The sequence below is a fragment of the Homo sapiens genome, chromosome 3, assembly GCF_000001405.40.
Source record: "Homo sapiens chromosome 3, GRCh38.p14 Primary Assembly".
Taxonomy (NCBI): Eukaryota; Metazoa; Chordata; class Mammalia; order Primates; family Hominidae; genus Homo; species Homo sapiens.
This window is the reverse complement of record NC_000003.12, coordinates 46,512,066-46,539,578: the sequence shown is the minus strand read 5'-3', so window position 1 is coordinate 46,539,578 and position 27,513 is coordinate 46,512,066. Positions and strand designations below refer to the sequence as shown.

General features: G+C 39.9%; 1 protein-coding gene across 1 annotated transcript in view, besides 3 other annotated features; it reads left to right on the top strand.

Annotated features, from left to right (window-relative positions):
• The window catches only part of LRRC2 (leucine rich repeat containing 2), a 50,918-nt gene extending 26,724 nt beyond the window's left edge, over nt 1-24,194 (top strand). The window contains exons 4-9 of the mRNA NM_024512.5: nt 378-534; nt 6,670-6,806; nt 9,529-9,674; nt 11,998-12,153; nt 17,921-18,057; nt 20,516-24,194. Of these exons, the coding sequence (NP_078788.2) occupies nt 378-534; nt 6,670-6,806; nt 9,529-9,674; nt 11,998-12,153; nt 17,921-18,057; nt 20,516-20,565 (783 nt within the window). The 3' untranslated portion in view covers nt 20,566-24,194. The remainder of the gene's footprint in view (nt 1-377; nt 535-6,669; nt 6,807-9,528; nt 9,675-11,997; nt 12,154-17,920; nt 18,058-20,515) is intronic.
• Nucleotides 458-517: an enhancer, noted in NCBI's record as "active region_19797". NCBI's record gives its function as "activates an Ori minimal core promoter by ATAC-STARR-seq in GM12878 lymphoblastoid cells {active_cell/tissue: GM12878}" and the evidence as "EXISTENCE:reporter gene assay evidence [ECO:0000049][PMID:35858748]".
• Nucleotides 17,871-19,070: an enhancer, noted in NCBI's record as "BRD4-independent group 4 enhancer chr3:46561999-46563198 (GRCh37/hg19 assembly coordinates)". NCBI's record gives its function as "activates an origin of replication core promoter dependent on BRD2, P300/CBP, MED14 and CDK7 cofactors, and independent of BRD4, by STARR-seq in HCT116 cells {active_cell/tissue: HCT116}" and the evidence as "EXISTENCE:reporter gene assay evidence [ECO:0000049][PMID:35650434]".
• Nucleotides 22,286-22,580: a silencer, noted in NCBI's record as "tiled region #6156; HepG2 Repressive non-DNase unmatched - State 24:Quies, and K562 Repressive non-DNase unmatched - State 7:EnhWF". NCBI's record gives its function as "represses a minimal TATA promoter and a strong SV40 promoter by Sharpr-MPRA in HepG2 and K562 cells {active_cell/tissue: HepG2 | K562}" and the evidence as "EXISTENCE:reporter gene assay evidence [ECO:0000049][PMID:27701403]".

Below are 27,513 nucleotides of genomic sequence, written 5' to 3'. Positions count from 1 at the left end.
ACAAAGGGAAACGAAGCACAAATTTTGAAATCGAATGTATAGACAGACCTTAGGGGATGTTAAGTTGGTATGTTGCAAATAAATAATACACATTGTGGCTCTAAGTGTGAGTCTGGTTTTTTGTGTTCACTAGGATTTAATTTTAATAACATCATGAATTCACGGCAGTTTTGAAATAGGGCTAATATACTGTTGTGAAGTTGACGACAACTGCGGTGTCTTTGGTTTCTTTTTGAAATGGCTGGAGTGCTGGTGGTTAAGTTTTATGCTCTCGTGTCTGCTTTCTCACTTCCTGTTTTAAAATAAATGCTTGGTTTTACACGGCTTTGTGCACACGGAGGAGCTAGTTCTGATTGATGTCATTCTTTCTATTTTAGGAGCTCCCAGATTCATTGAAGGAGCAGACACACCTGAGAGAATGGTACATAAGCAATACCTTGATTCAAATCATTCCTACATATATTCAGTTATTTCAAGCGATGAGAATTCTGGATCTGCCAAAAAACCAAATCTCACATCTTCCAGCAGAAATCGGTATGTCAACTTAGCAGGGGTCTTCGGGCCTCTGGTGTGTTAAGCAGGCAGCTGTCAGGCAGGTGACAGACACTGTGCAGACACCGTGTTTCCTCTCCAGCTTCCCCAGGAAGTGGTTGGGCAGGGCCGTTTGGAGGCTCCCCAGAGCTGCTTGTTTGCAGCATCCCTTTGGGTGGTGAGGTCGGCGTCTCGCCTGTATAACTCAGCACACAGGACACTTGCCAATTGCTCAGAAACCAGAAGTTTCATGAGTGAGCAATATTTTATTTAGGAACTCTGTGTTTATTTTCTTTTTGTTTTAAACCTATAAACGTGCAGTATGCTTATTAGAAATGTAATGTATTGCTCTTATACATTAGTCCATTGATAAATCTAGTTTAGCTTATGTTGTCTTTTTTTTTCTTTTCCTTGAGACGGAGTTTCGCTCTTGTTGCCCCAGCTGGAGTGCAATGGCACAATCTCGGCTCACTGCAACCTCTGCCTCCCTGGTTCAAGTGATTCTCCTGCCTCAGCCTCCCAAGTAGCTAGGGTTACAGTCACGTGCCACCAGCTGATTTTGTATTTTTTTTTTTAGTAGAGAAGGGGTTTCACCATGTTGACCAGGCTGGTCTCAAACTCCTGACCTCAGGTGCTCTGCCTGCCTCGGCTTCCCAAAGTGCTGGGATTACAGGCATGAGCCACAGTAACCAGCCTGATGTCTTTTTGATGGATCAAAATTTTATAATTCTCAGTCATTATTCAGTTGTGTTATCTTAAAATGAAAATGACAGTGATCATTATTGCTTCTCTTTTTCCTGGGGTGCAAGGAGTGAAGGTCTGGAGCTGCATGGAGCTCCATTCTTACACATGTGCCCTGGGACCAGTGGTTTCGCATAGTTATGTGAAAATTTACCAGAAGCCAAGACCCTGTGGGACAGGTGGCTTGTGGAGCCTCTGGTGTTCATACATGTCTTGCTGGCTGTGTCAAGACTACAAGGCTCTGACCACCCTCTTACCCAGGCCGATCTTGGGGATGCATATGCATGTACTAACCTTGAGGGATGAGGAGACACCTGCTCCCAGGCAAAGAGCAGCCTTGCTAACCACTTGCTGTAAAAGTGGTGGGTTCCCCAAGCTCAGGGTTCTCAGCTGTGATGTATATGTGCATAGCATCTATCCAGGCCATCTGCATCACGCTTGGTAAACTTAGCTGTAAGTGCAACTCACATCAGTATGCTGTGTTGGACCAGGAGCCTCGTGTCTTCTGTCGGTATCCATGAAACAGGAATAGGCAAAATTTATTAGCTTCTAAGCAGGGTAAAATCAAATTTTAGACCCAACAAGGATAAGTACTTCTGTTTCCTTGCCTAGTTTCTGGAAAGGTAGAAAGGACCTTAGAATTTCTATGACTGAAAAGTACCATTTTTGACATGTAAGGGGTCATTTACCTCCTGCCCCTTTATTTTGCAAATTGGAGAGACCCACTGACTGAATCATTAACTGACTGAATCATTATCATTTACATATTACACTAAGGAACTTCTTCAGAGCCTGGGCTAGAAGCCAGATTTCACTATTTGCAGGTCATTTTTGGGCAAGCTCATGGTATATTTAAATAACTGGATAGAGTTTCTGAGGACTGAGTTACTTTTAAAAACCCTTTTTAGGCTGGAGGCGGTGGCTCATGCCTGGAATCCCAGCACTTTGGGAGGCTGAGGCAGGCAGATCACTTGAGCCTAGGAGTTTGAGACCAGCCCGGGCAACATGGCAAAACCCCATCTCTACAAAAAGTAAAACATTAGCCAGGCATGATGGCGTGTGCCTGTGGGAGGATCGCTTGAGCCCAGGAGGTTGAGGCTGCAGTGAGCGGTGATGGCACCAGCCATCACTCCAGCCTGGGTGACAGGGTGAGACCCTGTCTCAAAACAAACAAACAAACAACCCTTTTCAAGTAGAAAGGTTCTGTCCTTATACATTTGAGAAGCCACAGTGGTTGACCTAGACTCAGGGATCCTTGCCATCCTGCCACCTTGGCTTGGGAATCCAGTGGTTGGCAGCAAGATAGATGGGGTATTAAGCATGGAGCTGTCAAAAGGCAGGGCATCAGAGCATCACCATGGGATGAGTCATGCTCACAGTTGTCTGAAATGTCATCAGAGGTGCTCCATTTAATATGTATCTTTGTTCATCTCTTGAAATGTCTTCCTTGAAATTATTGCCAGCCAGATTAACACCTGTTCTTTTTTAACTTCCCACACTACACCAATGTACTATTCATTCTTTCCTTGTGAGCCAGTTTGATTTGAGCAGTGGTTTTCACCCTGGCTACACCTTAGAATCCCCCAAAAAGCCTTAAAAATCTAAACGCCCAAGATCCACTGCAGACCAATTCCATAGGAATCTCTGGGTACAGGGCCAGGAATCAGCATTTAACAAACTCCCTACATGATTCCCATGTGCAGCCATGGTTGAGACCACTGGTGGGGGAGTGAGGATGTTATCCTTGCACACTCGGAGGAGGAGAAGAGATTGGTGGGTGAGGGGTATCCGTGGGGGACCAATGTGGGATTGGGACACTATACTTAATCTCTCTGCTCTTCAGTTTCTTCATCCGTAAAGTGGGGATAATAGTTGTTGCTGTCATTTAGTGGTTGTGAGGATTAGATAAGGCAATAAACACCAACATATTGGGTACATAGTTGTTATTCCAAGCGATTATTCAAGTGATTATTCCAAGGCACTCGAATCCTGTTGGAGACATGATGTCATCCCCACAGACCTCATTCATGTGCACGAAAACTATTCAAACATTCTAGAAAGGTGTAAAATGTAAAATCAAGCCTCTCAGTAAGCGCTAAGTTTCCTGGGTATTCACACTGTACATACACTCATGCTCTTCTATAGACCTACGTTGTAGCTGTCTATTTATAAACAGACATGTAACCATGCATGTTAAATATACTTACACACATGGGCTTACACTGTGTTCTTCAGTCTGTGCCTCACATGTTTCCCCCGATCACACCATGAAGGCGGAGGTGGACTCTAGGATCAGGCTGCCTGGGTCTTTGACTTACTGGAAGGTAACCTTGAGCAAGTCATTTACTCGTTTTCAGTTTCCTCATCTGTAAAATGGGGATAACAATAGTACCTAGTTCACCGCGTTGTTGTGAGGATTAAATAGATAATACATAGAAAGCATTTAGAGTAGGTGAATCCCTGGCATTCACTAGCCATTATTATTATTATTGCTATTATTAGCATCATCTTTATGTTAATGTTATTTTTCAGTATCAGAACATCTAAACCTTCCCCATTCTCCCTAGTAGCTGAGTGATGATTATGGCATGATTTATTTAACTTGTTCCCAAAATATTTTAAAATTAAACTTAGTGAACTGAAGACTGACCTAAGATTCTGAAGACAAAGATGTTATCTAACTTTGAGTAACTTGAGCACATACTTTAATTTTTTAAATCTTAGTATTCTCATTTGTAGGATAAGGGGTCAGAATGATCTTTAAAATATCTGCCACCTCTAAAATTCTCTAGTTGAATTTTTTTGTGAGTTAAACTATGGGAAGGAGGGGGACAATAAATCTCAGAGGCTTTAATACTCTCTATACCAGATTTAAGTCATATATATATTTTATCCAACTTATAATTTTCAGTCTATATCAAATCAACAGAATATAATTTATCCAAATACATCCATAACTTAGGCAAAGACAGACGATTCCCTTCTCACATGGCTGAGACATATATCATATCTCCAGTTTGGAAATTCTTATGACATGTGAGTATCACAATTTTTCATCATTATATAGGAAATCGTAAGAAAAGAACACAATAATAAAAAGGGAGATGTTCTTAGAATGATTTAGGTAAGGTTGTCACCCTAATTTTCTTCTAGTACTTGCTTCTTGATACTCTGAGTTATTAACATGGAGTATTTTGAGCAAATCCTCTTTTTTACCAAACGTAAGTATTGAGGGCATCTAGAATAAATCAATTTTCACATGTGGGGCAAAATGAAAAGAAATGAAAATATATTAGTTCAGGGCATGTTTCTCTCCTAGAGGAGCAGATATAGCTCCTTACAAACTAGGGATAAATGAAGAAACACTCAGCTGCAGGATCTGATGCTCAAGCATAGTGAGGAACGTGGGAATGAACAAAGGATTTTTAGCTCTTTTATGTTGAGCAGCTGAATTTTGTAAAGGAGGTGGGGTTTGATCTCTTATCATATTGTCTTATAGATCTATTGAGGGCTGATGAAGGGGAGGAGTCAGGGAGGTGTGATTACTAGACAGGGTATTCTTTTTCTCATTATTAGAGCAGTTATTTTTGACATTTGACATCAAGGAATTAAGAATGACAATGAGTGGTGCTCTTAACTTCTTTGTGAAATTCCCAAGAAATTATCATTATATGGATTTAAAATAGCTAATTATTGGAATTACAGATGATCCCCAGTTTACAATGGTTAGATGTAAGGTTTTTCAGCTTTTTGATGGTGTGAAAGTGGTGTGCATTTAGTAGAAACTGTACTTTGTTCCTAGAAGGGTGCGGCTGCTAGAAAGAAAGAAAGAAACAAAGAAAGAAAGAAAGAAAGAAAGAAAGAAAGAAAGAAAGAAAGAAAGGAAGGAAGGAAAAGAAAAGAAAAGAAAGAAAACAAAAAAGAAAAGAGCAGCACTATTTACAATAGTAAAGACTTGGAACCAACCCAAATGCCCATCAATGATAGACTGGATAAAGAAAATGTGGCACATATACACCATGGAATACTATGCAGCCATAAAAAGGAGGAGTTTGTGTCCTTTGCAGAGACATGGATGATGCTGGAAGCCATCATTCTCACCAAACTAACACAAGGAACAGAAAACCAAACACCGCATGTTCTCACTCACAGTGGGAGTTGAACAATGAGAACACATGGACACAGGGAGGGAACATCACACACTGGGCCTGTTGGGGGCTGGTGGGGCAAGGGGAGGGAGAACATTAGGATAAATACCTAATGCATGTGGGGCTTAAAACCTAGATGATGTGTTGATAGGTGCAGCAAACCACCATGGCACACGTATACCGATATAAGAAACCTGCATGTTCTGCACATGTATCCCAGAACTAAAAGTAAAACAAAAAAAATTAAAAAAAAAAGAAAAGAAAGGAAGGAAGGAAGAAAGGAAGGGAAAGAAAGAGAAAGAAAGAAGAAAGAAAGAAAGACAGGCAGAGAGAGAAAGAAAAAGAAAGAAAGAAAGAAACAAAGAAAGAAAGAAAGAAAGAAAAGAGAGGGAGGGAGGGAGGGAAGGAAGAAGGAAGGAAGGAAGGAAGGAAGGAAGGAAGGAAGGAAGGAAGGAAACTGTGAATACCTATACAAACATTCTGCTTTTCATTTTCAGTGCAGTAGTCTATTTATTACAGGAGACATTCAACACTTTATTATAAAACAGGCTTTATGTTGGATGATTTTGCCCAACTGTAGGCTAATGTAAGTGTTCTCAGCACATTTAAGGTAGGCTAGGTGAAGCTACAATGTTTGATAGGTTAGGTGTATTAAATGCATTTTTGACTTATGATATTTTCAACTTATGATGGGCTTATTGAGGTGTAATTCCATCGTAAGTTAGGGAGAATCTGTATTTAAACATTTTTACTCAAATATTGTAAGATATGGTAATTCCTTAAGCTGCTCCTTGGGCTCTAGAAACCAGGAGCCGCTATAGACACTGTGCTCCAGTTGCAATTATCTTCCCCTTACTGGAAATTAGGTCTGAGGGCTTTGGGAGAACAGGGAGTAGGTAGGCAGCTTCATTTCAGTTGGAAAAGATCCCTGGGCATTTCAAGAAAGAATAGACAAATCAGTTATTTAAAAATATGACACACTGAAGGCATGAGCCTTAAAAGTTTTGTTTCAGATTCTGTAATGTTGGACGCTTATCACACTGAAAAACTCTGTGATTTCCAGAACCTCGGGGTCATGATGCTACAAGATAATGTTCATTAGATACACCCCCCAAAACCCAAATACTAAATTATGTTTAGTTCCTTCCCCATCATTATTTACAGAGCTGTTTACTTCTTAGTTTTGCTTTTTGTTCTTAAAAGACCTTAAACGACCTATTCAATGGATGTTAACTTTTTCTGCTGACAGGTTGTTTGAAGAACCTGAAAGAACTCAATGTGGGTTTCAACTATCTGAAGAGCATTCCTCCAGAATTGGGAGATTGTGAAAATCTAGAGAGACTGGATTGTTCTGGAAATCTAGAATTAATGGAGCTGCCCTTTGAAGTAAGAGATAAACATTTCTGTACTACGATTCACTTTTATTTGGTTTATGACATAGAATGGTCTATAATATGGCAAGAAGTTTTAACATATGAAATCTATCTTTATTATATCACCTTTTCCTGACATTTCAATCACCGTATACTGGTCTTTAAAAACTTCTTTTTTTTTGAGGTGGAGTCTTGCTCTGTCACCCAGGCTGCAGTGCAGTGGTGTGATCTCAGCTCACTGCAGGTTTTGCCTCCTGGGTTCAAGCAATTCTCCTGCCTCAGCCTCCTGAGTAGCTGGTTCTGCAGGTGCACACCACCACGTCTGGCTAATTTTTGTATTTTTAGTAGAGGTGGGGTTTCACTATGTTGGCCAGGCTGGTCTCTAACTCCTGACTTCAGGTGATCCACCTGCCTTGGCCTCCCAGAGTCCTGGGATTACAGGTGTGAGCCACCGCACCTGCCCTTCTTTAAAAACATTTTATACTATGTCAGAACCCGAATTTAAGTTCAGAAATGCTATCAAAGGAAAACCAGGCAAAATTTCACACAAGAAATTTTTATTTAATGCTTTGCTTGTTGATGCTTGTATTATAAGATGCCTGTTGTCTCTAATGCAGATCCTGATTTATTTATCCACAATGGTAAAATTGAAAATAAAAGGGGTAAAATTTTTTATATACTCATAGCAAAACTTGTAGATGATTAAAGTAGTCCTACAGATAGGATTTAAGAAATCCACTAATTTAAAAATATTCATTAGTTTCTTTTGGTCTGTATTCATGGACAAATGATTTTAAATCATTTTCTGATAAAGTGGAGCACATAAAAGTGAACAATTTTTAATGCCAAATTAAACTCAATAAGCATCTCATGCTGGAGCGAGAGAAGGATCTCACAATCCTACTGGTAATGAATGGGCTAAAAATGGTGATTGCTGGTGACAAGGCACTGGACACCGATTGCCATCCTAGAAGGGGCATTATTTTCCTTTCCTGAATGCTGCAGGGTAGGAGGAAGTGGCTGCTTCTAAGCTGTTAGCACCCATTCCACCCTAGGAGATGCACAGCAGGGGTCCTGGTGAGGGTGCACAGCCAGGGGTCATGGTTCCCCGCACAGATCCACTCATCTCCCAGTCTTTTCCAGTTCAGGCAATGGCTCAATCTTCACACAGATGTTAAGGCTGGAAGTAAATTAAGTCATCCTCTCTTCTCCCATGTGCCATATCCAATCCATAAATAAATCCTGTTGAGCATGCCCTCCAGAATATATTCTGTCTAACCGTTCTCATCACCTTCCCACTGCCACCCTGGTCAAGACAGTGTTGTCTGTCATCTGGAATGGGGCAACAGCCTCCCTGTTTGCTTCTCTGCCCCTTCTTCTACCTTTTCCTCCTTTATTAAAGTGTAATCTACATACCATATGACTCACCCATTACAAGTGTACAGATTCAAATTTAGGCCTTTTCCATCACTCCTCCCCCACCCACTACCCCCAATTCTCTCTTGCTCCTTTGATATGAATCCCCATTCCCACTCCCAGGACTAGGCAACATGGGAGGTGGAGGCTGAGATCTCTCCACTGCACTCCAGCCTGTGTGACAGAGTGAAACGCCATCTCAAAAAAAAAAAAAAAAATCTAACTATAATTGTTGAATTGTCTCTTTGTCCTTTTAATTCCATCAGTTTTTACTTCATATATTTTACGTTGTTAGTTGCATATACATTTATGATTCTTGTATCTTCCTGACATACGTCAGGGGGGCTCCTGCTATTGACCCTTTTATTATTATGAAATGTCCTTCTTTATCCTTAACGATATTATTTCTTAAATATAATTTGTCTGATATTAATATAGTCACTCTAACTCTCTTATAGTTATGTTTTACATGATGATATGGTGATATGGTTTGGCTGCGTCCCCACCCAAATCTCATCTTGAATTGCAGCTCCCATAATTCCCACACGTTGTGGGAGGGACCTGGTGGGAGGTAATTGAATCATGGGAGCAGGTCTTTCTTGTGCTGTTCTCGTGAGAATAAATCTCATGAGATCTGGTGGTTTTATAAATGGGAGTTCCTCTGCATAAGCTCTCTTTTTGCCTGCTGCCATGTAAGACGTGCCTTCGCTTCTCCTTTGCCTTCCACCATGATTGTGATTCCTCCCCAGCAATGTGGACCTATGAATCCATTAAACCTCTTTTCTTTATAAATTACCCAGTATTGGTTATGTCTTTTTTTTGTGTGCAGTGGCATAATCTCAGCTCACTGCAACCTCCGCTATCCGGGTTCAAGTAATTCTCCTGCCTCAGCCTCCCAAGTAGTTGGGATTACAGGTGTGCACCAGCACATCTGGTTAATTTTTGTATTTTTAGTAGAGACGGGGTTTTGCCATGGTGTCCAGGCTGGTCTTGAACTTCTGGGCTCAAGCAATCTGTCCACCTCAGCCTCCCAAAGTGCTAGAATTACAGGCATGAGCAACCACGCCCAGCTTGCACTGATAATTTATAGCAATATAAAATCCTGGAAGGCAGCCGCAGTGTATTATTTATCTTAACTTCTCTACGTGTGCACAGTGAATGACACATCTGAGGTGCTTCAAAATACATACTGTATTGATCTGCTTTGCATATATTCATAGAAATGCCTTTGGGGAAGAAATATCCATCTTAAAATTATTAGTTGAACTTAATTCCCACTCTTATAAAAGTAATTAGAACATTTTGTTATTCATTTCTAGTTAAGTAATTTGAAGCAAGTTACATTTGTAGATATCTCAGCAAACAAGTTTTCCAGTGTCCCAATCTGTGTCCTGCGGATGTCGAATTTGCAGTGGTTGGATATCAGCAGCAATAACCTGACCGACCTGCCGCAAGATATAGACAGGTAGCTACTTGCATTCTAAGGTGAGGTGTATGTATTAGTTACTAACGCTTCAAACACTGTTAACATTTGAAACATGTATAGTACATGAATGTTCTTTGGAATCAACTAATTTTCCAGAGTTTCCTTTCCAGGAAATCAGTTTCCGAGGAAATTATAGAATAAGACAATTTCCAGTCTGCATCATACATGTATGTGTTTACGTGCATTTGAACACCTCTTCATTGTCCTGATGAACTTTAATTTGCTTTAGTCTCCGTAGAATGGCACCATTAACTTTCCTTCACTCTACAGAAGTGGAAAAGTTAATTTATTAAGTATAGAATAGAAACATATCACTGTATGTTTAGAATATCAATGAGGACAAATTTTATTAGTTTCATTTATTGATTCGTTATACATAAACTTTCAAACAAAATTGATATGCTTAGCCAGGTTTTCAAATTATATTCTTTCAAATTAAAAATGTACATATTTTTAAATTTTTATTTTTTGTTCAGACAGGGTCTTGCTTTGTTTCCCAGGCTGGTCTCAAACTCCTGGGCACAAGCAATCCTTCTGCCTTGGCCTCTCAAAGTTCTGGGATTACAGGCATGAGCCACTGTGCCTGGCCCAAATTATATTCTTGCAGCTATTTCATGTTTTTTAAAATAAGAATTATCATGTAAGTTTCAGTCATTCACTTATATTATTAGACTCCTGTATGGCAAGCCTAGAGAACGGGATGGGTTTAAAGTGGTAAATGAAACACAATCTCTGGCATCCTGGAATCTACAATTTTTTTTTTTTTTTGAGACAGAGTCCCGTTAGCTGCCCAGGCTGGAGTGCAGTAGTGCAGTCATGGCTCACTGCAGCCTTGACTGCTTGGGCTTAAGCAATTCCCTCACCTCAGCCTCCCAGGTAGCTGGGGCCACAGATGTGTGCCATCATGCCTGGCTACTTTTTTAAAATAATTATTTGTAGAGACAAGGTCTTGCTATATTACCCAGGCTGGTCTTGAATTCCTGGACTCAAGCAATCCTCCTGCCTCAGCCTCCCAAAGTGCTGGGATTTCAGGCATGAGCCACCGTGCCTGGCCTACAATCTTTTTTATAAAGAAACACAAGCAAGCTATGATGACACAGAGGCCAGCAATGGCTTAGGCCTGAATGCCATCTTGTATGACTTTTTTTTATTCCTGGTACATGTGATGTGTATTGATGCTTTCTAGGCTTTTGAGGCTAAGAGGGAATCTTTTAGTTTGCAACATGGGAACTTTATGAAATATTTGTATGATAATCCAAAGTTTTGGAAATAAATGAAAGAAAAATTCCCAGGGGGAGGCCACTGAGTTAGAATAAAATGGAAAACAGAATAAGACATATTTGGAACATATTTTGCTCATTTACTTTTCACTCCGCAGTTGCCTTCCTGTTTTAAAGTTGGAAGACGTAATGAGAGAAGGATAATAACTGGGGTTTAAAGATATACAAGAGGAGGCTGGGCACAGTGGCTCTTGCCTGTAATACTAGCACTTTGGGAGGCCAAGGAAGGAGGATTGCTTAAAGCTAGGAGTTCAAGACAAGGCTAGGCCACATAGTGAGACCCCGTCTTTCTCATTAAAAAAAAAAAAAAGTGTACCAAAGGAAGTACATTGCTAAAATCTGTTTATTCTCATTTCAATTCTAGTATGATTGCCTTCCCATGCTCTGTTAACCCTTGTAAATGCAGTAGACTCTCGGAAGGGACATACTGATGTTTGAGGCTCCATCATGGCCTAGTGTGTATTGTGCAGTATGCTTATCCCGCTGCTATAGCTGTGTCTTCAACTGGTGATTAAGTCAGTAAAAACTTCCAAAAAATCACGTCACCTGGCATGACTTTAGTTACTTAAAACTTAGGCAGAGCATAGTGGCTTATGCCTGTAATCTCAACACTTTGGGAGGCTGAGGTGGGCAGACTGCTTGAGCCCAGGAGTTCAAGACCAGCCTGGGCACTATGGCAAGACCCTCTGTCTCTACAAAAAATAATTAGCCGGGCATGATGGCGTGTGCCTGTAGTCCTAGTTACTCAGGAAGGAGTCTGAGGTGGGAGGATCATTTGAGCCCAGGAAGTTGAGGCTGCAGTGAGCCGAGATTGTACCACTGCACTCCAACCTGGGCAACATAATAACACCTTGTCTCAAAAAAAAAAACGAAGAACAAAACTTAGAATAAGTTGGTTCTCATAAAGGTCACATGTATAAAATAAAGTAGGGACTTCCTGTTAGAATTTATTTGTAATTCATGTTGGTTTTCTTAGCTATGATGCTAAGTCCAGTGCTATGATTGTTTTTACCTCTTCTTAGGCTAGAGGAGCTGCAGAGCTTTCTCTTGTATAAAAACAAGTTGACCTACCTTCCCTATTCCATGCTGAACCTGAAGAAGCTCACTCTGTTAGTCGTCAGTGGGGACCATTTGGTGGAGCTCCCAACTGCCCTTTGTGACTCATCCACACCTTTAAAGTGAGTAGCCCGGAAATCCCAGTAGACACACTCAGACACAGGTAAGGAGTGAGAAGTACCAGAGCCTGGGCAGCTGTCTCAAGACCCGGATTAGATGGCTCTCGTACTCTGAGAACCTGATCCCAACTCACAGAAGTTCTGGTGACTTTTTACAGGATTTTGGAGTTTGTGGCATATGACACGAGGAAGAGGCATAGGGTTCAGAGGATTTCTGCACAAATGCATGCTGGTTGATGGTGTTGCGGGACATATGTCCAGGGCCTGTGATCTCTTGCTCAGTGCTCACATCGCTGCTGGCCTGGAGGGGTCAGCAGATGTTGAAAGGACCCTCCCTGGTTGCTTCACCCTTCTTTAGGTTTCCTTAAGTGAACCTATAAACCACCCACAACTAAGAAAAACCATCCATGCAAATGTACTCCAAACAGCCTCCAATCTGGGGATGTGGAAGTGGAATTGAAAAGTCCTGGCTCCGCCCTCCCCTGAAATGACTCCAAGGCAGCTGATGGCTCCCTGGCAGCACATCCTCCCAGAATCTGGAGCTTTGGGGTTGCCCCATTAATTCTACCTGAGACCATTTTTGTCCATCCCTAGCGGTTTGGGCCCTCCCCACATTATTCACACGAGGCTGCTCTATTAAGAGCCACCTTCTCTCTGTCCAGAGACCTATTGGCCTTGAGCACCAGGTGGCTGTTAACGCAACCACTAGCGAGAATATTTCCCCAGGACTCCTAGTTCTTCAGTGGTAAGTGCTTACTATCAGCAGAGTTCAATCTTGTCTTCCTGTCCTTGCAATAAATGCATGGCAAACAAATAAAGAGGTTTGACTGCTGGAAAGAAAGAGAACAACTCCATATCTGTATAAGCACAAAATAAACAGGGTGTAAGACATCTCACGCATGCCCTACTCTGCTCCTTCCACTAGAATAGGTCTTCCACTGTGCTTGGCTGTGTGTGGAATATTGTTTGAATAAGAAGAGGACCACTGGTGAGAGGGGTAGCAGGACTCCTCCCTAGAGCCCCTTCCACATCCAGCCCCTGGAAGCAGGCTTGGCAGCTTCATGTCTCATAGCAGTCAGGGTAAACCTGTCACCTAACTAAAGTAATTTCAAATGATATAATTGTAGGACTCAGAAATCTAAGAGAGTCAGATGGAAGCTCTTTGAATTATTGAAATTTCAATAAAAAGAATAGATACAGGTTTGCATAAATATTTAATAGCTTACTGATTCTTAGAAATAACCTGTAGAAGTTCAAGACCAGCCTGGCCAACAAGGTGAAACCCCGTCTCTACTAAAAATACAAAAAATTAACTGGGCACAGTGACGGGCACCTGTAATCCCCGCTACTCAGGAGGCTGAGGCAGGAGAATCGCTTGAAACCGGGAGGCGGAATTTGCAATAAGCCGAGGTTGCGCCACTGCACTACAGCCTGGCGACAGAGCTAGACTCCATCAAAAAAAGAAAAAAAAAGAAACAAGAAAAAAAGGAAATAACCTGTAGAAAAATAGTGGAAGAAATGATGACATTAATAATAATAACCAAAAATCTAAAATATCTAGGAAAACCTCTAGTGAAAATAGTCCTCTTACATGAATAGTATTAAACAGTCTTCCCAAAAAATAATAAAGAAGTCTTGAATATTTGAAAAAGGTATAATGTATCTTTTCTGGGTGAAAAGGCGGTAAAGATGTGATTTCTTCCAAAAATTATACTTAAGTGTAATATAATTCCAATCATAACTCTAATGGAATTTCTTTTTTGGAGCTTGAAAAATGCATTTGACAGTATATGTGGAAGGACAAAGCTAAGGACAGTAATAATAATTTTAGAAAACAAGAGTAGTGTGACAGAACTTGCCTTATCAAGGATTATAGTGTGGCCAGGCACAGTGGCTCATGCCTGTAACCTAACCCTTTGTGAGGGTGAGGCAGGAGGATTGCTTTAGCTCAGGAGTTCGAGATCGGTGTGGGTAACATAGCGAGATACTGTCTCTACAAAAAATTAAGAAATTAGCCAGGCATGGTGATATGCCCCTGTAGTCCTAGGTACTTGGGAGGCTGAGGCAGGAGGATTGCTTGAGCCCAGGAGTTCGATGTTACAGTGAGTCATGATTTCACTGCTGCATTCCAACCTGAGCAACACAGCAAGACCCTGTCTAAAAAAAAGAAAAAAAGGCCTGGCATGGTGGCATGTGCCTGTAGTCCCAGCTACCTGGGTGGCTGAGGTGCAAGGGTCGCTTGAGCTTGGGAGGTCGAGGCTGCAGTGAGCCATGATTGTGTACCACTGCACTGCAGCCTGGATGATAGAGCAAGACTCTATCTAAAAAAAAAAAAAAAAAAAGAAAAAAAAAGAATTACAGTACATTTAGAAGGGGTGACCTCAAAATGATGCAATGCTGGGCAATGATTTATAGGTGAGTTATTGGAAGAGAATAGGTAGTCCTGAAATCAATGCTAATACATGATATAGGAATTTTCATAAGCAACTGGGGAAAGTATGAATGACTTCATATGGTATGAAGAAACTGGCTAGTGATAAAGCCTGTTCTTCACTTTATAGCATAAGAAATCTTGGAGTACTACATCGCTATATATGCCATATATAGTTAATATCACAAATATATGGTATACATAGCATATAGAAAGAAAACTAGACCAAGAGACAAGTTAAATATAAAAAGAAAGTTATTAAAAGAATAAGAAATGCCATGTTAATCATGATGGCTTGATCCCTTTTAACACTTATACACTTATCCTTTATAACAGCCTATTAAAATGAAAGAAAAAATTTAAAATATGAGAAATCTCAACATTTTTATGAGATACATCAAGTAGACAGAATAGCAGTCATTGATGAAAGTAAGGTGGAACAAACCAAATCCCAGAGAACAAGCCGAGGAGCGCACCGCTCTGTCCTGAAGATGTTGGTGGCCAGAAATTTCGGTACAGGGAGGTGTAGACAGAAATATGGTGCTTAAAACAAGAGGAAAAACGGAAGAATTTTTATATCAACAGGCACCCCCCAACCTCCTCCTTAATTACAATGGGCAGACCACTCTGTACCAGCAGTCCAGGCTCCAGACCAAAAGCCTGAGATTTTCTCTAAGGTAGCCTGGAGAAAAGACCCCAGAGTTCTGTGTTTGGCGACTGCCCTGAGGACCTGCTAGCCCTGTGCTTGAGTGATCACCCACAGTGAGGCCGGTACCTTGGCCAGCACTGCCTACATACTCAGGGGACCAGCCAAATTCTGCTGTCTCATTCTCAGATATGAAGGCATTACCAAGCCTTACCAGATGGTTGTCACAAAAACGTAAATATTATTTATTGATTTTCAATTTTAGAATCAAACTGCAGGCAAAAGAAAAGTGAGATGTGATTACACAAAAATGTAAATATTATTTATTGATTTTCAATTTTAGAATCAAGCTGCAGGCAAAAGAAAAGTGAGATGTGATTACACATCAGAATGTGTATAGTATTAACCTTAACAAAGTAAAAGTACACAATGTCTGTGATTGTGCTTTGAGATACATCAAAAAAAATGAGATGTCCGACGTGTGGTTAGATGGGTGGATAGATGTGTGAACAGATGGGTGGGTAGATGGGTGGATAGATGGGTGGACAGATGGGTGGATGGATGGTTGGATAAATGGGTGGATAAATGGGTGGATAGATGGATGGATAGATGGATGGATAGATGGGTAGATGGATGGGTAGATGGATGGGTGGATGGATGGGTGGATAGATGGGTGGATAGTTGGGCAGATAGGTGTGTGGACAGATGAGTGGATATGTGTTAAAGCAAGTATAGCAAAATGTTAAACATGGAATCTAGGGGATTGTACATGGGTGTTCACTATGAACTTTTTTCTACTTTTGTGAATATTTAAGAATTTTCATAATAAAATGTTTAAAAAGTAAAATAGTAGGTAAAAATTTGGAAGTGGGAAGGTTGGGAAACTGGAAAGAAGGGGAGAAATACCACCACTTGATTGAATGACAGGAAAGTATTTGTCCTAAGGTAAAAGGTATTTTAAATAGATTAAGGAAAAACAGTGATAGACCAATGAAAAAAGATTGCTTCTGGGATCTGAAGAGTAATTAAAGGGAGGGTGAGAGACTATTGCTTCACAAAGAAGCACGATTACATTCTGCAGGTTTAAAAATGTGTACAATGATTACTTGATTAAAAATGTTAAGAATGATAAAATGTAGGTATATTTCTTATTTTTGAATAGGGAAGGATGATAAACATTAACTCAATGAAAAAATTATAAAGGAAAAGTTGAATGGTTCTATCTACATTAAACATTACAACTTTTAAACTCTCTCCATGTTCAGACATTAAATAAAATTAAAAGGAAAATGAAGTGGGAAATATATATATATAATAAAACAACACTCGTGGCTCATATCTTCCATATATACAGCTCTCATCTATAATCCAATGAGAACACGCTAACATCTCAAGACAGCAGGGCCTGCAATTGCAACCAAAAACTATTTAAGAGATTTACTGTTTTGAATTGAAATAATTACAATATTTTTCACATCAATACATCTTTGAAAATTGTGAAGACAGAAGATCAAATACCATTTGGGTTTCCCCCCTTTAGCTTGTGTGTGTGTGTGTGTGTGTGTGTGTGTGTGTGTGTGTGTGTGTGTGTTAGCAGTAGTTCATCTTTTATTTAATTTTATTCTTATATTTTCAGAGATGGGATCTCTCTCATTCTATTGCCCAGGCTAGAGTGCAGTAGTGTCGTCATAGCTCACTGGAGCCTTGACTTCCTGGGACTAAACCATCTTCTTGCCTCAGCCTGCCGAGTAGCTGGGATTACAGGCATGTGCCACCACACTCAGCTAATCTTTTATATTTCTTGTAGAGATGGAGTCTCTCTATGTTGCCCAGGCTGGTCTCCAACTCCTGGCCTCAAGCATATCCTCCTGCCTTGGCTTCCTAAAATGCTGAGATTATAGGCATGAGCCTCTGTTCCTGTCCTATCGTTTGTTTATTTATTTATTTATTTATTTATTTATTTATTTATTTATTTTTGAGATTGAGTCTCGCTCTGTTGCCCAGACTAGAGTGCCATGGCGGGATTTCAGCTCACTGCAACCTCTGCCTCCTGGGTTCAAGCAATTCTCCTGCCTCAGCCTCCTGAGTAGCTGGGATTATAGGCGCCTGCCACCACACCCAGCTAATTTTTGTATTTTTAGTAGAGACAGGGTTTCACCATGTTGTTTAGGCTGGTCTTGAACTCCTGACCTCAGGTGATCCACCCGCCTCAGCCTCCCAAAGTGCTGGGATTACAGGAGTGAGCCACTGTGCCCAGCCATGTCCTATCTTTTAAATACACATTTTGTGGGGATTTTCCTTGAGTCCTTTGTAATTTGGACACGTCATTTTAAAGTTGGATGTCCCTTACTGGGAGTAACATCAAACATTGCATGACGACATGCAGCTGTGAGGATCTGCCTGAGAGGAGGTGTTAGTGTCCACTCCATGGCCTCCTGTACTCTCTGCCTATGACTAGGGAGCTCTCATTTCCCCATCAGGCCTCTGAAAAGTCTATACTTTAAAACTGGCTCTATATTACTGTTGGATTATTCCACACTGGAATTCCACTGGTGATGCTGATATCATGTGGTCAAATGTGACTTTTAAAGGTAAGCCAGAACTTGGGATAACAGAGGTTATTTTATGTGAGGAATTTTGCAGTTTAAAACGCACAGGTGATAATGTGATACTTCCCATGCTTTCTCGAATAGATTTGTAAGCCTTATGGACAATCCTATTGATAATGCCCAATGTGAAGATGGCAATGAAATAATGGAAAGTGAACGGGATCGCCAACATTTTGATAAAGAAGTTATGAAAGCCTATATTGAAGACCTTAAAGAAAGAGGTGGGTTACTCATATTTAAAATTATTTAAAATTAGTGTACAGACGTCCACTTATGTAATACATTTGTTAATAGAAGTCAAATTGACAAAAAGTTTATTGGTTGAGGGGCACGTTACTTCGTAAATTATTTTTCCATTTACCCTCCAACACACTCCAAATGATACATTTCCTTAAAATATCAAATTGTGCTAGTCCATTTGAATGCTTGATGAATCATCCACTGTTTGACAGAGAGGCTGGGAAACGTGCACTTAAAATGTTAGGGTTGCGTTACTAACCATACGTGAGTTTTTAACTAAACGATATTGACAAAATAGTATCCTAAGTTACTAGAAAAATAAGATGTCGTTTCAAAATCCGTTTACATTCAACTTTTGAAAAAGTTATCTCACATAAATCAAGAACACATATAAAAATCACAAAAGGGAAAGCACAGGATGGCCAATTTGCGCATAGATGCATTTAGTTTTGGTTCCCATAGGGTGGTGAGAATACAGAGGGGCGAGGGGGGTCAAGTACCTCAGGAAAGGGTGGGAAGGCTTTTTCCCAGCGCCAGATTCCGGCGGCTGTTTCCAAAGGAGTGGAGAGATCCTAATGGTGTTCTGGAAGCCTTAAGCCCTTCCTTCCATCACAAGACAGCTTCCCCAGGAAAAAGGCATACATCAGTCTTTGGTCTTCTAATCACTGCCTCCTTTCTGGGTGTGGATGCCTGAGAGTCATTCCTTAATTTTTCAGTTCTTTGATGAGCTAGGTGCAGACCTGGCAGGAAGAGAGTTGTCCCACAAGTGGATTTAGGGAGGAAGCGCACTGGCCCTGGGCCTCTGATGATGAGCATCTGTGGGCAGGCTCCCTCAGCCACCCTCAGAAAATGGCATGCGTGAGCATGCCCCTCCCTCATCAGTAGATGTCTGAAGACGATTAGTCACATTCAGATAGTCAGAAATGATGAAAAGTGTCATTTATTGGGCAAATTAAAAATTGTTTCAGCTAAACTAAAATTTCTATATGGTTACTTTTAATCTTTTTGGATATCCCTAATTTTGAATTCTGAACTAATATGAAATAAATTAGAAATTTATCGTAAATGTGAAACTGAAATTACAGAGCCATTTATTTGTCAAAATTTACCTTTGGGTTCTATGGTTTTCCTCTTGTGAGAGCCTTTAGTGTTCCATTTTATTCATTTATTTATTCGTAATTATATTGTAGTGCTATTATGTAAAACTCCAAGAAAGAAAGAAAATAGGTGTTAAGTTCTGGATCTATGTGGCCAGCAATAATAATTTGCTTTTAAAATTAATCAATTTAAATAAAATAAATATATTTATCTATTATAAAATATCATTTAATAAATATATTATTTAATATTAATTTTATCGATAATATATTATTAGTTATTATTTACTTAAATAAATTAATTTGTTTTAAAATAATTTGCTTTTAAAAATTAACTTTAGAGATGATAGATTTTTAATTTGTTTACTTATTTCTAAATAATAATAATTTTATTCTGTATATATTCATATGTATTAGATTGAACACATGATATTGCTAATATTCAGCTGGTTTTGTCCTACAGAAATGACACTTTTTAATGTTTCGACCTAGATATGGTCAGGCATGTGCTCTGAATTTTAAAAAATTTGCTCGTTTTCTTTTCTTTATCATGGTGTCTTCCCTGTTTTCCTTCTTTCCCCATCAGACCAATGTCTGAGTGAAAAAATAGTAGATTTAATCTGCCCACAAGGGCCTACAACTTTGTGTGATTCAAGAAGGATAAGGATGTGAAGCCCTCACTGGTCCTCAAGCTTTAGTGAACATAGGAATGAGAGTTTTTACTCATCAGGCCTGGGGCAGGGCCTGAGAAAGTACACTTCTGACCAGCTCGCTGGTGATGTTGATGCCTTGTGTCTGAGAAGTACACTTTGAGAGCCATTGGTATAGACCATCCTTTGACAAAACTTTGGCTGTGAAGGGAGAGAGAAGAGGGGTCAGCAACTAGTGGGAAGAGCCAGGCTGAGAGAAGGTTTACTTTCAAAGATGGTGTATGGTTTAGGAACAGCCCAAACTTCTCTTATAAACGGTACCCTCTGCCACCTACTAGCCACAGTCCCAAGTCCGTGACCATCTATTTCTATTTTGTCAACTATTAATACTGTAGGGTCATATAGCTTCCAAGATCTTGATGTAGCTGTGAGTTGGCTGGAAAGATGGCAAAAGAATGAAAGTTAACGATTCTTAGATCTAAACATTTCTAAAGTTTGACTGCACATTTGTGATGACTTACTTAATGGTGACAAATGCATTATTTATCACCTATACAGTATCTCTATACTTAAAACATGAAGTGACAATAATGGGTGTATTGACATACATTCATTATGTATGTCATAGCACGTAGCTAGATTTCATAATAAAATGGTGAATGATTGAGCATACTTTTTTCTTTCTGTTACAGAATCTGTTCCCAGCTATACCACCAAAGTGTCTTTTAGCCTTCAACTTTGATATCCATCAGAAGACTGCAAATCTCACTATTCTCTGGAGCTATATATAAATCTTTGTTATGATCATGTCATATAGGAAGAATGGCTTGTGCTTAAGGACAAAGTCTAGAAACCACTATCATAGTTGCTAAAAAAAATGGTTTTCAAATGTCAAATACATGAGTATCTCCCTCCATGGACTGGAGAATTGAAAAATTGGTTTGTATATTGATATTTCCAGGTTCATTTGCATATACTTTTTTCCAAATAATGCACATTTAATATGTTTTAAAATGTCTTATTTTTAAGAATTATAACTAAAAGACCAAATACTGAAGTTAAGTGCATTGTTTTCAGGAATCAAAAGATAAAGGGGCCGGGTGTGGTGGCTCACACCTGTAATCCCAGCACTTTGGGAGGCCGAAGTGGGTGGATCACCTGAGGTCCGGAGTTCGAGGCTGGTTTGGCCAGCATGGCGAAACCCCATCTCTACTAAAAATACAAAAAATTAGCTGGGCATGGTGGCAGTTGCCTGTAATCCTAGCTACTCAGGAGGCTGAGGCAGGAGAATCGCTTGAACCTGGGAGGTGGAGTTGCAGTGAGCCGAGATCATGCGACTGCACTCCAGCCTGGGTGACAGAGCCAGACTCTGTCTCAAAAAAAAAAAAAAAGAAAAGAAAAAGATAAAGGGATTGTGAAAAGAGCATTTATATTGGACTAATCAGATGAGAGTGTTTTGTTATTTTGAAAGAGTTTCTTTTACTGAGAATAATCTTCCTTGAGTTTATATAAACTGCTATTTCCATATGTTTTAAGTTATATTTTGGCAAGTGTAGACTCCCAGGAGAGACTTGTAGGTACAATCTAGGCCTTGAAGAAACAAAGGCTGGAATATCTGCCCATGCTTTGGGCATGAGATGCTCAGATGGTGCGTGGGTAGATCTAGTTGAGGAAGTGTGGGCCTGGCTGTTCATGGGAAGTCTTCAGTGGCCTTCATGGATGGCCATCCAGTCCTGAGTGGTCACCCTGGGGGTCCTGGGACACACCTCAGTAAAGAGCAAAGGCAACGCCCTCAGGGTCCCTTCCTCCAAGATGGCCATGTAGGGTAATGGAGATGACCAGTCCACACTGATAAGGAGTTCCTAGCAAGGCTTCCTTGTGGGTACCACAGGACAACTCTGCCCATAGCAAAGATGCTTCAGTCCAGAGGGAGCCCATGGGCTGTTTGAATTTGGGAGAGGTGGGATTCATTACAAGACTTTGGGCTCTTATGTCACATCACATGATTTGGAGAAATTAGACACAATCTCTTATTTTTATACCACTGTCTTGGGCTAAAATAAACAGGTTGTGGCTGATGGTGTTGAAGATAAATAAGCTTAAACAAATAACTTTGGCCGGGCACGGTGGCTCACACCTATAATCCCAGCACTATGGGAGGCTGAGGCAAGCAGGTTGTTTGAGCCCAGGAATTTGAGAACAGGATTTTGAGAACAGCTTGGACATCATGACGAAACCCCATCTCCACAAAAAAATTCAAAAAATTAGCCAGGTGTGGTGGCATGTGCCTGTGGTCCCAGCTACTCAGGAGGCTGAGGTGGGAAAATCACTTGAGCCCAGGAGGTCGAGGCTGCAGTGTGCTGTGATTGTGACACTGCCCTCCAGCCTGGGTGACAGAGTGAGACCCTGTCTCAAAAGCAAAACAAACAGCAATAACAATATTATTATTGTTATAACTAAAAAAAAAAAAACAAAAACAAGCAGCTTTTGTGACTAAGAAGGAAAATATGCATATAGTGGCATATTTTTATATGAATCATCTCCTCTGTGGTCTTGCCCAGTACCATCCAGTGGAGCTTTCTGCAGTGACGGAAATGTTCTGTATTTGCGTTGTCCAACGTGGTAAACCAGACACATGTGATTCTTGAGCACTTGAACAATGACTGATGTGATTGAAGAACCCATCTTTCAATTCAATTAAATTTAAATAGCCACATTTAACTCCAGCCTTGGGTTTGACCTGATGGAAAATTCCCATGAGAGAGTGCTCCAAACCGTTCCAAGGTGGGGCCAGTTGCGATTCTAAAGGAAGAAGCACTAAATGGCAGGGTGATCAGTCCAAAGCATTTATGAGGGGAGCTTACATACAGCATGGGCTGCAGCGTCCTTGTGATGGGCAGTGAGACAAGGGATGTTCTACCTGGGCATGTCCCCAGCGAGGGGGTTGGGGGATGGAGTTCACATGAAGATGTAAGGAATTTGGGTGGGGGCTGGGCTGGCTTCTACATGTTTAGCAACACGGCTGATCTTTCAGTGTTTCCAGCAACAACCTAAGCACCGTTATCAGTGCCTAGGAATGTTCAAGGCCCAGGCTGGGGTTCAGACCTGCAGAGGAAAACATCAGCTGGCTGGGTCAAGGCACCATGTGTTACTTGGTCAGGACAGAGACAAAAATGAGGAAAACTAGGGGACCCCACACACATGTGGCTACCATACTCCTGAACAGGTCTAGCTAGTTATTTGTTTTTTTGGAAGTTAATCTGGGGTAGAAATGTATGGTGATTTTTATTTTCTCTGTCTGAAGAACCAGCCATTTTTAAAAAGGTTATTATTGACATCCCAATATTTTGTCTTGGTGGGCTTACTCATAAGTCCAAACATTTTATTCTCAACAGGTGTAAAACAGGCAGAGCATTCTAAAACCACATGGTAGTGCTTTGGTGGAGGACTGCTTCCACTTAGAAACAAACTCTGAGAAGTAGGCTAAGAGAAGACAAGAGGGCCGGGCGCGGTGACTCACGCCTATAATCCCAGCACTTTGGGAGGCCGAGATGGGTGAATCATGAGGTCAGGAGTTCGAGACCAGCCTAAACAACATAGTGAAACCCTGTCTCTATTAAAAATGCAAAAAATTAGCCGGGCGTGGTGGGCACCCGTAATCCCAGCTACTCAGGAGGCTGAGGCAGGAGAATTGCTTGAACCCAGGAAGCAGAGGTTGCAGTAAGCTGAGATCCCACCATTGCACTCCAGCCTGGGCAACAGAGTGAGACTCCATCTCAAAAAAAAAAAAAAAAAAAAAAAAAGAGAGAGAGATGAAAAGAGTAGGAAAATGAGAAATCACCTTCGTTGAATCTTAAATAGTTACATTTTTTTCTTTTTAACACTAAAAATACAATTCAAATTTATTAGCTCTACTACTTGAATGATTTTGGAATTTTATGTCATGCTAAGGTATGTGTTACATATGGCCAAGTGGAAAATATATCTGAAGAGGGGCTTTCATACAAATAGACTGTTCATAATTTATGTAAATTTTATTTTAATAAAATCAGTTTTTTGTTTAAAAACCTTGTTTCACTGTCACATATGAAAAAAATACTGCATTGATATATAATTATTTCATGTTACATAATAACCCAAAACAAATAATTACTTGAATATGTTTGTAGAGATACTATTTAATTTATTCATATAAATGTGCAGAAAGATTCCAAAGGAGAATATATATCTTGTGAAAATATGGAGATTTGAAAATTTGACATGATGCAAATAGACTGATACATAATTTGGAAAGGTTATTTACATGGCAGAATACATGTATGAATATTAAAGTAATATGAATGAAAGAATAAAATATTCTTAGAAGAAAAATGTTCTGGTTCTAAAAGCTTTTTATTAAACCTATTTTTTGTATGTTGGAAGTGTAGGGGGGAAAAGATTTTTTTTGCTCGTCTGTTGCTAGGTTCATGGCTGAGACTCCTGTAACAAAAGATGGATTAAGAAGTGAAAATAGCATACAAATATATTTAATATAAGTTTTATGCAATATGGGAGCCTTCAAAAATGAAGGCCCAAAGAAACAGGTAAATTTGTGTTTTTTTTTTTTTTGAGACAGAGTCTCGCTCTGTTACCCAGGCTGGAGTGTGGTGGTATAATCTTGGCTCACTGTAACCTCCACCTCTCGGGCTGAAGCGATTCTTCCACCTCAGCCTCCTGAGTAACTGGGATTACAGGTGTGCGCCACCACGCCCAGCTAATTTTTGTATTTTTAGTAGAGATGGGGTTTCACCATGTTGGCCAGGCTGGTCTTGAACTCCTGACCTCAAGTGATCCTCCCGCTTTGGCCTCCCAAATTGCTGGGATTACAGGCATGAGCCACTGTGCCTGGACAACTAGTGCATTTTTTAATACTAGGTTTGATAATGAAGTGCATAGTTGTGGAAAAATATGATTGGAGGACAACACGGTGTGATCTAATAGCAATACGCTGGGGGAAACTTAACAAGGCCTGTCAGTTCAATTCTTCTTGGTGTCCCTGTGTCTTTGAGGATAAGGATGTTCCTATAATTCAGATACAGGCAGGATACCTCTGGAAGGGGGGGTCTTATGACCGACTGCAGGGAGGAAGGTCAGATAATTCTGTTATGGCCTACTTCAGGGGTGAAGGCTGAGAGGAAAGTCAGAGATACCTTCCTGCTTCTGCAGTTTTCTCAAATGCCAAGGCGCCATATTTTGGGATAGAATGTAATGAAGCCCATCAGAAGTGAAGGGGAAAAGGCACTTAGGTGAAATCCTTAAGTAGTGTATTGTAATTAATAGCAAGACTCACATCTGGTTTCTTGACTGTAGCTTTAATTTTATTTCCACTAGAATCTCTTTTAAATTTATTGATGGTTCTAGCCACCCTCCCCACCCACATGTTTCCTTGTTTGGGGTGTAATGGATCATGGAGCTAGTAAGCTATAAAGTAGTGAATTAAATCCTTACTACCGTATTCCTCCCAATTTGAATTGTGGAAGAATACAGCAGTCTTTTTTGTACAGAAAGAGACAAAAGGTCATTTTAATTTTAATAACTGGATATGGTAGGAGATGGTTCCTTCTTACTTTCTCACTTTTCTGTAGAAAAACCCAGCAAGCTTAGAGATCTCTAAGCTCCTCTGGCTTAGAGATGCCTCCTTCTGAAAGCTTGGCTGGTGTTTATCTGGGTCGTTAGAGCAGACGTTCACAAAATGGTCAGTTTTGTAAACTTTAAAAGGGAAAGGTTGAGGAAGTGGATATCCAATCCTATTGCTTACTGAGGTATGTATTCTAATTGGCTCAGAATGGATTATGTTTTCACCCAAAGACCATTCTGTATTTGAGCCAAAGTTTAGTGCTTTATAATTGTACTGAGGGTACTAATCCTTTTTAAAACGAGGATTTGGTTTTGATACATAGATGACTTATGTTTCTTACTCCAGCTTTGACCTTTAATATTGGCACCTGTTTCTGGTTTCTCCTCTATAGGGCAGCTCCACTTGGGAATCCCATTGACATCTAAAAGAAGTGTATTACAGGTGTGTTTATTTTCTTCCTCCATTTTCCAAAGTTACATGACCAATATTTTATGGGTCTTACAAATGTGTAATTCTATCTAATTTTCTTTTTGAAAAATTACCTATTTTAAAAAATCCACAGATCTTACTCATTTCTCTTTTCTTTAAAATATTTACTTGATTCTAATTTTTCCTGATTAATAAGGAGGACATTTTTTTCTAGTATCTCATCTTCCAGCTTCTCCCACACTACTTGTCAGTGGCAAGATCCGTCATCAAAGTCAGTTTAGACCACATAATAGCATTTCTTAGGATTTTGAAGGGCTTTCCAATTCTTTCTTGAGATTAAAGTTCTTGGCTGTAGTCTTCAGTGAGCTCACAAATAATCTAACTTCCATTTCTTTTATTGTTCTAATTATCCAAGTTTAAAAAATTATTGTCTAGTTTGTTTTCCTTATTTAATCGGTGCTATGATGTATAAATATTGTTTGTGATATTGCCTTGAAAGTGTGAATGTGCTTCATAAAATAGCATTTTCTAGAAATGCAAATCAAAATGACTACAAGATATCACTTCATACCCATACGTATGGCTATGTTAAAGGAAAACAAAAGCAGAAAATAACAAGTGTTTGTGAGGATGTAGAATAATTGAAACCCTTGTGCACCGTTGGTGGGGTTGTAAAATGGTGTTATCACTGTGGAAAACCATGATAGTTCCTCAAAAAAATTAAAAATAGACCTACCATATGATCCAGAAATCTCATTTCTGGGTATATACCCAAAAGGATTGAAAGAAGGGTCTCACTTAAAGTAAAATAAAAAAAAAAAAAAAAAAAAGAAGGGTCTCACTTAAAGTAAAATTAAAAAAAAAAAAAAGAAGGGTCTCAACGAGGGATATTTGCACATTCATATTCATAGCAGCTCAGTTCAAAATAGCCAAGAAGAGTAAGCAACACAGATGTTTATCAATGGATCAGTGGATGAATGGATAAACAACATGTGGAGTATTATTCAGCCTTAAGAAGGAGGGAAATTCTGACACTTACTACAACATGGATGAACCTTGAGGATGTTAAGTTAAATGAAATAAGCCAGTCACAAAAAGACTAATGCTGTGTGATTTCACTTATTTGCAGTAACTAATGTAGTCAGATTCGTAGAAACAGAAAAGTAGAATGGTGGTTGCCAGGAGCTTGGAGGAGAGGAAATAGGGAGCTGTTTGTTAATGGGTATGGAGTTTTAGTTCTGCAAGATTAAAAAGTTCTGGGGAGCTGTTTCACAACAATGTGAATCTACTTACATGACTGAACTGTGCACTTAAATATGGTTCATGATTTATGAGTTTTTTTACCACAATTTTTAAAAATTGCATTTTCTTACTTTTGTGAAATCAGATGTCAAGCCTGGCTTACAAGCACATTCTGTGTGCACTGAAGCTCTGAAACCTTGCGTTAAGTTTCAACTCTCCAGTGAGCCAAGTGAGAATACTTTAGGGCTAATTTCTCATCTTTACCTTTGTCAATTTTACTTTAAAAATCCTCTCATTATAGAACAGAGGATGGTATGTTCATTAGATAACACTGTAATTAAGGGGACATTACAACTGAGGTAATTAGAACCTTGCAGAAGCCAAATTGCTTGGGGCTGAGAG